Consider the following 12,564-nt stretch of genomic DNA (forward strand, 5'->3'; position numbering starts at 1 on the left):
ATTGCAACTAACAGAGCTTTTAGTTTCTGTTGTAATAGTATTACAGCAACTTTAAAGTATTTTAAAGCTTCTGTCTTCTTTCTTGATTTCCACAAAGATGCCTTCTCCTCATCATAGTTGAACAGTGAAATGATCATCAGTACAAAAAAAAACTAAAACTAAGACATATACAAAAGTAATTCAAATGTGTTTCAAATTGCTACTACATTGCATAGAACAATTGTGCAGTCAAATTCCTTATATATTGCATACATCGACTTACTGATGAAGAAGTGCAGGAGTTCTGTGTCTGGATTCTTCAGACCACTTCACTTTCTGATGCCAGTTTTTGTGCTATTTCATCTAGAACCAGGAGATTTTGAAGAACAAGATGTGACAAATATACTAAAATGCAATCCAGCCAGGCACGGCAGCTCATACCTGCAATCCCAACACTGGGAGGCCAAGGCCGGAGGATGCTTGAGTCCAGGAGTTCAAAACCAACCTAGGCAACATAGTGAGAATTCACCTTTATTAATGTTAGATATGAGTTCTAAGTTTCTTTTCAAAGAATCAATATGTCAGTAGGTCCAATTCTTTGCCTTCTACTTTTAAACTTAACTTCCTCATAAAGCAACTTTTTCGATTACCTGCTCCACCCTGACTCATTTCAATCACCTGCTCCACCCTGACTCATTCCGATTACCTTATCCACCCCGACTCATTCCGATTACCTGCTACCTGCTCCGCCCTGACTCATTCTCCACCCTGCATAACCATTTTTCCTGCCAAACCACTCACCCAGTCACTTTCTTTAAATTAGCCAATCGGAATTAGTTTAGCCTGTGTGATCTTAACCCTAGCCAATAGCGGAACGACACAGCAGCAGGGGCCACGTGTGTCAGAGATAAGGATCCCCTTCCCCTCCCTTGTCCAAGTGTGCACTCACCACTGCTCCATCTGTAAGGGCGCACCCTTCTATAGAAGTAACTTGCCTTGCTGAAAATTAAAAAGAAAATTTTTTTTCGAGTGCTATTTCTTTTGTGCACCGAAATTTTATTTACAACATTAAGGAAAAAAGTAATAATAAATAAAAAATAAATTTTAAAAAATGCAACCCCATGTGTTGGAATGTATAAAACCCATGACTTCAGGCTGGGTGTGGTGGCTCATGCCTGTAATCCCAGGATTATGGGAGGCCAAGGCAGGGGGATCAGTTGAGCCCAGGAGTTTGAGACCAGCCTGGCCAACATAACAAAATCCCATCTCTACAAAAAATACAAAAAATTAGCCAGGAGTGGTGGTGCTCACCTGTAATCCCAGCTACTCGGGAGGCTGAGACAGGAGAATCACTTGAACCCAAAAAGGCAGACATTTCAGTGAGTTGAGATTGTGCCTCTGCACTCCAGCCTTGGTGACAGAGTGAAACTCCATCTCAAACAAACAAATAAATAAATAAAACCCATGACTTCATACATGTGTATACTCATTGTAGTACTCTTCAGGTTTCTGCCCTAGAAACAGGAATTCTGACAAATTTTATTTTGCCTCATGTCCATTTTTTAAAAACAGTACTTTTTTAGATATATATGCTGCACGATCAAGTATATTCCTAGCCGGGCGTGGTGGCTCATGCCTGTAATTCCAGCACTTTGGGAGGCTGAGGCAGGTGGATCACCTGAGGTCAGGAGCTCGAGACCAGCCCATCTCTACAAAAAATAGAAAATATCAGCTGGGCGTGGTGGCACATGCCTGTAATCCCAGCTACTTGGGAGGCTGAGGTAGGAGAATTGCTTGAAACTGGGAGGCAGAGGTTGCAGTGAGCCAAGATTGCACCATTGCACTTCAGCCTGGGCGATAAGAGTGAAACTCCATCTCAAAAAAAAAAAAAAAAGTATATTCCTAACAGAAGAGGATTTCTAATTTAATATGCTGTCAGTGAGAATCTAATTCCTCTGCTTACAAGTTTATATGCTTCAAATTAGAAGAAATTTTTACAGATTAGCTTCTGGTTCTACGTGTTTCAAACACTGTTTTTCCCCAATTTTTTTTTGCTTTGAAACAGTCTTGCTCTGTCACCCAGGCTGGTGTTCAGTGGCGTGACTCAGCTCACTGCAACCTCTGCCTCTTGGTTTTAAGCGATTATCATGCCTCAGCCTCCTGAGTAACTGGGACTACAGACATGTGCCACCATGACCAGCTAATTTTTTGTATTTTTTGTAGAGACAGGGTTTCGCCATGTTGGCCAGGCTGGTCTCAAACTCCTGGGCTCAAGTGATCTACCCGTCTCAGCCTCCCAAAGTGCTAGGATTACAGTCGTGAGCCACCTTGCTGGGCCCCCAATTTTATGTACTTACAGAGCAGAATGCCATAGAAATTGTTGATGTTATCATATGACATCAAGCCTTGCACCTTCATGTCACAACCCTGGGTGAGATGGTGCAGAGGTAGAAAGAATATTCCTGGAACTCCTTCTATATGGTATGACCACACTGGTATGACCAAATCCAAACTAAATGTTTGTAACTCAACTTTCCTGAGCTGGATCCCAAAATGCAGAAAGAATGTGATCAAGAAGAGGTCAGAGTGAAAAGAGACAGTGGTCTTGACTGACTGTGGTAAAAATAGTTTGCAAATTATACAGAATTACATGACCTTGTGAACTCATGGCTAGAATTCCTTGTAGGTCCTTGGAAGGAGCAGGTGGCAGTGAAAAGCCCTGTGTCCTATGCTTCATTCTCTTCACAGAAAATTATTCTCCACAAGGCAATAAAGTGTTTTAAGAGGAAGATAGGGTTTGCCGCATCAAATGCTGCCAAGAAGTATAATAGGATAAGGACTGGCACGCAGTCCAGTCCTTTGGACTTGGCAATGGAAGGTCTTTAGTGCCCTTGAAAATAGTGATTCTAAGCCGGGAGCAGTGGCTCATGCCTGTAATCCCAGTACTTTGGGAGGCCAAGGCAGGTGGATCACAAGGTCAAGAGATCTAGACCATCCTGGCCAACATGGTGAAACCTCGTCTCTACAAAAAATACAAAAATTAGCTGGGTGTGGTGGTGCATGCCTGTAGTCCCAGCTACTTGGGAGGCTGAGGCAGAAGAATCGCTTGAACCCGGGAGGCAGAGTTTGCAGTGAGCCGAGATCGCACCACTGCACTCTAACGTGGTGACAGAATGAGACTCTGTCTCAAAAAAAAAGAAAATAGTGATTCCATTAGATGATACAGAAGCCATATTAGAATAGATTAAGGAAAGAATGGGAGATTAGGAAGATAAGACAATGGCAACATGCAAAAACTTCTGTTTGGCTATGGTCTTTCTGTACTGATATAGAAAGATTTCCAAGATACATTGTCTAGTGAAAGGTAGAGAATAGTGTGTACACTATACATCTCTTGCGGTATGGATTGATATGTGTATCTCTCAAAGTCCACAGAAGATGCCTCCAGCGAGGGAAATTGGCCTTTGGAATTTTTGAAGCATGCAAATGTATTACCTATTCAAAACATAATTTTTAGCCAGGCATAGTGGCTTGTAACTGCCCAATGGGTTCACCTTGCCTGCTGCCTAGACAGCCAATTTACCAGGGGAAGTGCGATAAAGAATGAGTAATTGATACAGAGCCGGCTGTGCGGGAGACCAGAGTTTCATTATTATTCAAATCAGTCTCCCCCAGCATTGGGGATCCGAGTTTTTAAGTACAACTTGGTGAGCTGGGGGAAGCCAGTGAGCCGGGACTGCTGATTGGTTGGGTCAGAGATGAAGTCATAGGGAGTGGAAGCTGTCTTCTTGCGCTGAGTCAGTTCCTGGTGCGGGGGTGACAAGATCAGATGAGCCAGTTTATCAATATGGGTGGTACCAGCTGATCCATCAAGTGCAGGGTCTGCAAAATATCTCAAGCACTGATTTTAGGCTTTACAATAGTGATGTTATCCCCCGGAGCAATTTGGGAGGGTCAGAATCTTGTAGCCTCCAGCTGCTTGACTGCTAAACCATAATTTTTAATCTTTTGGCTAATTTGTTAGTCCTCCAAAGGCCGTCTAGTTCCCAGGCAAGAAAAGGGTTTGCTTTGGGAAAGGGCCTTTGTTTTAAACTATAAACCATTGGCCAAGCGTGGTGGCTCACACCTGTAATTCCAGCACTTTGGGAGGCCAAGGCAGGTGGATCACCTGAGGTCGGGATTTCGAGACCAGCCTGGCCAGCATGGTGAAACCCCTATCTCTACTAAAAATACAAAATTGCCAGGTATGGTGGTGCATGCCTGTAATCCCAGTTACGTGGGAGGCTGAGGCAGGAGAATCCCTTGAACCTGCGAGGCGGAGGTTGCAGTGAGCTGAGATCGCGCCATTGCATTTCAGCCTGGGCAACAAGAGCGAAACTCCATCTCAAAAAGTAATAATAATAATAAACTATAAACTAAGTTCCTCCCAAAGTTAGTTCACCCTACACCCAGGAATGAACAAAGACAGCTTGGAAGTTAGAAGCAAGATGGAGCTGGGGGCTGGGCGAGGTGGCTCATCCCTGTAATCCTAGAACTTTGGGAGGACGAGGTGGGAGGATCACTTGAGGTCTGGAGTTCAAGACCAGCCTGGCCAATATGGTGAAACCCCATCTCTACTAAAAATATAACAATTAGCCAGGTGTGGTGTCGGGCCCCTATAATTCCAGCTACTCTGGAAGTGAAGGCAGGAGAATCGTTTAAACCCAGGAGGTGGAGGTTGCAATGAGCTGAGATCGCACCACTGCACCCCAGCCTGGGCAACACAGTGAGATCAAGCTGCAACTACATTTACTGGGTGGGAGAGGGAGCTGGTGACAGGAAAAAGCAATCAGAAACAGGAGAAAGACCTCATCCCTACAAAAAACTTAAAAACCAGCTGGGCGTGGTGGTCATGCCACTGCACTACAGCCTGGGCAACAGAGTGAGACCCTGTCTCAAAAACAAAAAAAGTGATCTCACACTTACTGTTTTTTTTGTTTTTCGAGACAGAGTTTCACTCTTGTTGCCCAGGCTGGAGTACAATGGCACGATCTCAGCTCACTGCAACCTCCAGCTCCCTGGTTCAAGCGATTCTTCTGCCTCGGGCTCCAGAGTAGCTGGGATTACAGGCACCCAGCACCACAGCTGGATAATTTTTGTATTTCTAGTAGAGACGGGGTTTCACCATGTTGGCCAGGCCTGTCTTGAACTCCTGATCTCAGCGATCCACCCATCTCAGCCTCCCAAAGTGCTGGGATTAGGATTACAGGCGTGAGCCACCGAGCCTGGCTACACTTACTGTTGATATGTACTGAGAACTATGGTAGGACATTCACATGTGCTACTTCACTAATTTATTTATTATTCAAAAATATTAATTGAGTGCCTGTAATGTATGTGGCATAAGAAATACATTTGGTCTTTGTCTCAGGTTCCTATGACAGAGTTCCTAAAACCCTTGGAATTTCCTGAGTAATAGTGAAACTGCCTTTGCAAAACTATGACTGAGACAGTGAAAGAGATCTAATGTAATCGACTCAAACTTGCTTCTACCCCCCAAGCTGTCCTTGTTCATTCCTGGGCATAGGCTGAACTAACTTTGGGAGAAACTCAGTTTATTGTTTGTAGTTTAAAACAAAGACAATAACAGCACTTTCCCAAAGCAGACCTCCTTCTTGCCTGGGGACTAGATGGCCTTTGCAGGACTAATATTAGCCACAAGATTAGGAATTATGGTTCAGGAGTCATGCAGCTGAAGGCTACAAGACTCTGACGCTCCCTAAACTGCTCCTAAGATCAGTGCTTGAGATATTTCGCAGACCCCGCACTTGATGGATCAGCTGGCACCACCCAGATGGACAAACTGGCTCATCTGATCTTGTGGCCCCCACCCAGGAACTGACTCAGTGCAAGAAGACAGCTTCCACTCCCTATGATTTCATCCCTGACCAATCAGCACTCCTGGCTCACTGGCTTCCCCGCACCCACCAACTTGTCCTTAAAAACTCTGATCCCTGAATGCTCAGAGAGACTGCTTTGAGTAACAATAAAACTCTGGTCTTCCGCACAGCCAGCTCTGCGTGAATTACTCTTTGTCTATTGCAATTCCCGTCTTGATGAATCGGCTCTGTTTAGGCAGCTGGCAAGGTGAACAACCCCTTGCGTGGTTACACTAGGAGGGTGTCTCTGCATCCCTCCCCGTATCATACCCTATGCATCTTTTCATCTTGCTGTTCATCTGTATCCTTTATCTATTTTTTCTTTTTTTTTTTGAGACAGAGTCTCACGCTGTTGCCCAGGCTGGAGTGCAGTGGTGTTATCTTGGCTCATTGCAACCTCTGCCTCCAGGGTTCTAGTGATTCTCCTGCCTCAGACTCCTGAGTAGCTGGGATTACAGGTGTGTGCCATCACCCCCAGCTAATTTTTGTATTTTTAGTAGAGACGGGGTTTTACCATGTTGGCTGGGCTGATCTCAAACTCCTGGCCTCAAGAGATCCGCCTGCCTCGACCTCCCAAAGTCTGGGATTACAAGCATGAGCCACTGCACCCAGACCTATATCCTTTATAATATAGACCATTAAACCAAATCCTGGGGAAGGAGGGTTGTGGGAATTCAATTTGTAATCAGTCAGCAAGAAACACAGATCAAAACCTGGGACTTGGGACTGGAGCCTGAAGCAGGGCAGCCTTTTGGGACTGAACCCTTAACCTGTGGGATCTGACCCAATCTCCAGGTAGGCAGCGTCAGAATGGAATTGAATTATAGGACACCCAGTTGGCATCTGCTGGAGAATTGCTTGGTGTGTGGTGAAAAACCCACACATCTCTTCACAGAAGTGTTTTGTGTTGGGTGTGAGTAGAGAGAAAAACAGTTTGTTTTTTTCTTTACAATGTGCTGGCTACTACGCAGGTGCTGGGTTATGGTGGTGAAGAAGCTAGACAAATTCCTGCTCTTGGACAGCTTCCAGTCTAAAAGGAGGACATAAAGGACAAAACAGATAACTACAATATCATGTGGTAAAGGTTCTAAGGCACACTATGGAAGACAGAGGAAAGATTATGTATTACGGGCTGGGCTCAGTGGCTCACACCTGTAATCCCAGCACACCGGAAGGCTGAGGCAGGCCTTAGGTCAGAAGTTTGAGACCAGTTTGGCCAACATGGCGAAACCCCATCTCTACTAAAAATACAAAAATTAGCTGGGCATGGTGGCGCTCACCTGTAATCCCAGCTACTCAGGAGGCTGATGCAGGAGAATCGCTTGAAACCGGGAGGCGGAGTTTGCAGTGAGCCGAGATCACACCACTACACTCCAGCCTGGGTGATGAGAGCGAAACTCTGCCTCAAAAGATTGTGTGTTAGTGTGCAAAGGCAACCATAACAAAATAACACAGACTGGGTGGCTTAAGGCACAAAGTTTTATTTTCTCACAGTTCTAAAGGCTGAAAGTTGGAGACCAGGTGCTGGCAAGCCTGGTTTCTCCTGAGGTCTTTCTTTTTGCCTTGCAGACAGCTGCTTTCTTGCTGTCTCCTCACATGGCCTTCTCTGTGAAACCACCTTTGCAAAATTATGACAGTAAGAGAAATCTGACAACATTGACTCCATCTTGCTTCTGACCTCCAAGCCATACTTGGTCATTCCTGGGCACAGGCCAAGCTCTCTTTGGGAGCATTTTAGTTTAACTTTGAAGCAAGGATGACAGTAGTCCCTAAAATTAATCCAATCCCTGTTCAGGGGCTGAAACTGCCTTTGTAAGACTAACGAAAGGCCACAAGATTAGGATCAAAGGAATGACGTGAATTTTGCTAAAATGTAGGCGTAGTTCCTATAATCCCTTACTGCTCAGGGGTACCACCATGTGGTACAAGGTCACAAGACTTATGACTTCCCTAATTGCTCCTATAGATAACATCACTATTGTAGAACCTAAGATTGGTTTTCTTTTTTTTTTTTACTTTTATTTTTTTTGAGACTGAGTCTTGCTCTGTTGCCCAGGCTGGAGTGCAGTGGTGCAATCTCAGCTCACTGCAAGCTCTGCCTCCTGGGTTCACACCATTCTCCTGCCTCAGCCTCCCGAGTAGCTCAGACTACAGGCACCTGCCACAGTGCCCGGCTAATTTTTTGTATTTTTAGTAGAGACAGGGTTTCACCGTGTTAGCCAGGATGGTCTCGATATCCTGACCTTGTGATCCACCCGCCTCAGCCTCCCAAAGTGCTGGGATTACAGGCGTGAGCCACCGCACTCAGCCTATAGAACCTAAGATTGGTTTTCTGAGATGTTTTCCAGACTGACCCCACCTGGTCATGACTGATGACTCAACTGGTCCTGTGGCCCCACTGACAGACTCAGCATATAAAGACCATTTTCCACACCCTGTGATTTCATCCCTCACCAATCAGCAGCACCCTTTCCCTATGTCCCCCTACCCCCCACCAAATTGTCCATCAAAATCCTAACCTCTGAGCCTTTGGGGAGACTAATTTGAGTAATACTGTTATGTCCTGCGTGGCCAGCCTCATGTTGATTAAACTCTTTCTCTACTGCAATAGCATGTTCTCAGTGAAGTAGTTTTGTCTTTGCTATGGGCAAGAACTCACAGGGCAATTACATCTGTGCAGACATACCCCTGGTGTCTCTGACTCTTTTTGTTGTTGTTGTTGTTGTTGAGACAGGGTCTTACTCTGTCTCCCAAGCTGGAGTACAGTGGTGTGATCTCACACCACTCTACAACCTCTGCCTCCCGGGTTCAAGCAATTCTCCTACCTCAGCCTCCTGAGTAGCTAGGATTACAAGCACCCGCCACCGCATCTGGCTAATTTTTGTATTTTTAGTAGAGACGGGGTTTCACCATGTTGGTCAGGCTGGTCTTGAACTCCTGACCTCAGGTGATCCACTGAAGAGGGAGTGCTGGGATTACAGGATTGAGCCACCTTGTCTAGTCTCTCTACCTCTTCTTACAATTATACCACTTCTATCAGATTAGGGCCCACCCTGACGACCTTACTTAAACTTAATTATCTCCTTAAAAGCCCTGTCTCCAAATATAATCATATTAGTTGTTAAGACTTCAACCTATGAATTTTGGGAGAACATAATTCAATCCATTAACAGGTTAGGTTTCCAGAAAGAAATCTCACCCAAGGTAAGGCTTGAGTTTGCATGTAATTAGCCAGGTAGAGAGTGGGGAATGGTGGGTGTGGTGGCTCATGCCTGTAATCCCAGCACTTTGGGAGGCTGAGATGAGAGGATTGCTTGAGACCAGGAGTTCAAGACCAGCCTGGTCAACATAGTGAGACCCCCATTTCTAAATACAAATTAAAATTAAGGAACCAGGCGCAGTGGCTCACGCTTGTAATCCCAGCACTTTAGGAGGCTGAGGAGGGCAGATCACGAGGTCAGGAGTTTGAGACCAGCCTGGCCAACACAGTGAAACCCCATCTCCACTAAAAATACAAAAATTAGCTGGGCGTGGTGGTGGGTGCTTATAATCCCAGCTACTCAGGAAGCTGAGGCAGGAGAATCGCTTGAACCCGGGAGGTGGAGGTTGCAGTGAGCTGGGATCGCGCCACTGCACTCCAGCCTGGGTGACAGAGCTAGGCTTCATTTCCAAAAAAAAAAAATTAAAATTAAAATTAAAAAAGAGTGGAGAAAAGGTGCTTACTTCAGCAGCATATATACTAAAAATTGGAATGATACAGAGCAAATTAGCATGGCCCCTGTGCAAGGATGACATGCAAATTTGTGAAGCAATTAAATTTAAAGATAAAAACAAAGAGTGGAGAAAAGAGTGCTTCAGACTGCAGGTAAACGCTGGTCAAAGGCCAGAGAACAAGAAAGTATGGTACGTCAGAAAACCAAAAGTATTTTCTTTTTTTTTTTCTGAGATAGAGTCTTGCTCTGTCACTCAGGCTGGAGTGCAATGGCACAATCTCGGCTCACTGCAACCTCCACCTCCCGGATTCAAGTGATTCTCCCACCTCAGGCTCCCCAGTAGCTGGGATTACAGGCGCCCACCACCACACCTCGCTAATTTTTGTATTTTTAGTAGAGACGGGGTTTCGCCACGTTGGCCAGGCTGGTCTCGAACTCCTGACCTCAGGTGATGTGCCCGCCTTGGCATCCCAGACTGCTGGGATTACAGGCGTGAGCCACTGCACCCAGCCGAAAACCAAAAGTATTTTCTAGATAATACCAGAGAGGTCAACAGAGAACCTTGGAAGGCCTTGGAAGTCATGATAGAATTGGGGCTTTGTCTCAGGGCAATAGGAAGCCAGTGGAACTCTGTAAGCAAGAGACTGACAGAACCATATCTACATTGATCACTTTGGCTTTAGTGTGGAGAGTGAAGTGAAAAATAGTAACATTGGAAATAGAATGACAAGTTAGGAGGTTTTTATAATAAAATAGGTAGGATGGGAATAGAGAGAAGTATGCAGAATTGAGAAATCTTCAGAACTTGTAGTTGGCAGGACTTGCTAATGAACTGGAAAATAAGGAATAAACTGAGGATGATGCTTAGGTTTCTGAGTTGAGCCAGTAGTTGGGCAGTTAGTGACATGCCCTGAGATAGGAAACAAAAAAGCAGATGGTCAGGGGGAGGGCCGGATGGTAAACTCAGTATTCAATACAGTACATTGAGTTGTAGATATGTGAGTCATAAAAGTAAAGATGTTCACAGCCTTATCAGCTAGCTATTTTCATCCCTGTTTTAGAAATAAAAAGGAACAGGCGAGGCACGGTGGCTCACACCTGTAATCTCAGCACTTTGGGAGGCCGAGGCAGGTGGATCACCTGAGGTCAGGAGTTTGAGACAAGCCTGGCCAACATGGCGAAAGCCCATCTCTACTAAAAATACAAAAAAATTAGCCGGGCTTGGTGGTGGGTGCCTGTAATCCCAGCTACTCCAGAGGCTGAGGCAGGAGAATCACTCGAACCTGGGAGGCGGAGGTTGCAGTGAGCGGAAATTGTGCCATTGCACTCCAGCCTGGGTGACAAGAGTGAAACTCCATCTCAAAAAATGAAATAAAATAAAATAAAAATAAAAAGTAACAACAGCTGACGTTTCAAGACATTAAGTGAAATGGGATCCATGCCCAGGTTCATAGGACTCTATACTTTTTCAACCACAGTCCACAAAATCTTGCCCAAAACTCCGAGTCAGTCAGATATATTTCAGAATTCAGAATTTACTGATTTTAGAAAGATAATATAGTGCCTATACTCTATATTATAGAACAGGGACTGGGAAAGTATCTCACAATCAAACACATTGATAAATCTTTAATGAATCATGTGAATATTCATAAGTGGGTTAAAGAAGGACCAAAAATAGTCTTGTGACAGTTCAGGATGAGTGTGCCATTAAATGAGTGTATAAAAATTTCACCAGCCTGAGCATCACAGTGAGACTCTATCTCTATAAAAAGTTTAAAAATTAGCTGGGGGTGGTGGTGCATGCCTATAGTCCCAGCTACTCGGGAGACTGAGGTGGGGGGATCACTTGAGCCTGTGAGGTGGAGGCTGCAGTGAGCCATGATTGTGCCACTGTACACCAGCCTGGGCAACAGAGCAAGACCCTGTCTCAAAAAAAATAGAAAAAAACAAAAAGAAAAAGAAAAAAAAACAGGCCAGGTGCGGTGGCTCATACCTGTAATCCCAACACTTTGGGAGGCCAAGGAAGTTATCACTTGAGATCAGGAGTTTGAGACCAGCGGGGCCAACATGGTGAAACCCTGTCTGTACTAAAAATACAAAAGTTAGCTGGACATGGTGGCACAGGGACCTCTAGTCCCAGCTACTTGGTTGGCTAAACACGAGAATTGCTTGAACTTGGGAGGTGAAGATTGCAGTGAGCCCAGATCGCACCACTGCACTCCAGCTTTGTTCTGTCTCAAAAAAAAAACAAAAACAAAACAAAACAAAACAAAAACCTTGAGAGCAAGGTTCTGTCTCAAAAAAAAAAAGAATTTAGTTTTCAGGGTATATTGGATTTTGAAATTATGGATAAATGATAAATGAGTACCTTCTAAGATAATACTGTATGATAGAAGTCAAAAAAATAGAGTTTCAAGAAAAAAGTGGTGTTAAATATTACTGTGAGATGAAGGACAAGAATTGAAGAAAAGTCATTAAACTTGATGATCAAGAGCTTAGTAGAGATATCTTCAGAAGCACCTTGTTTAACTGCATAAAGTAATGGGAACAGAAGTCAGCTCTTAAGGGGTTAAAGAGTAAGACAATCTTCATATCCAGTAAAATTGTTAAAATTAAAAAGACAAAGAATACAAACTATTGACAACCTTTTAAAGCAAGTGGCATTTTAATTCACTGCTGGTGGTAGTGTATTTTGAAAAACTGTTTGGCGATCTCTGCTAAAGCCAAACATATGCATAATCCTTGATGCAGCAATTCTAGCCTATATAAGTGTTTAGCTAAATGCATGCACATGAACTCAGGAAAACATGTACAGGAATGTTCACATCAGCTTTGTTTTGGAGTAGTGGTGGATATTCATTACATTGTAAATCAAATTAACTACAAACAAAAGGTACCATGCATGAACCACTGATGACAATTGGTCATGAACCAAGGATTATAATTTATTC

General features: G+C 44.3%; 1 pseudogene, besides 1 other annotated feature; it reads left to right on the plus strand.

Annotated features, from left to right (window-relative positions):
- Positions 749-949: a silencer, noted in NCBI's record as "peak959 fragment used in MPRA reporter construct". NCBI's record gives its function as "represses an SCP1 promoter by STARR-seq MPRAs in K562 erythroleukemia cells {active_cell/tissue: K562}" and the evidence as "EXISTENCE:reporter gene assay evidence [ECO:0000049][PMID:32103011]".
- Positions 9,613-9,720, plus strand: RNU6-543P (RNA, U6 small nuclear 543, pseudogene; annotated as a pseudogene).

This window comes from Homo sapiens, chromosome 10, assembly GCF_000001405.40.
Source record: "Homo sapiens chromosome 10, GRCh38.p14 Primary Assembly".
Taxonomy (NCBI): Eukaryota; Metazoa; Chordata; class Mammalia; order Primates; family Hominidae; genus Homo; species Homo sapiens.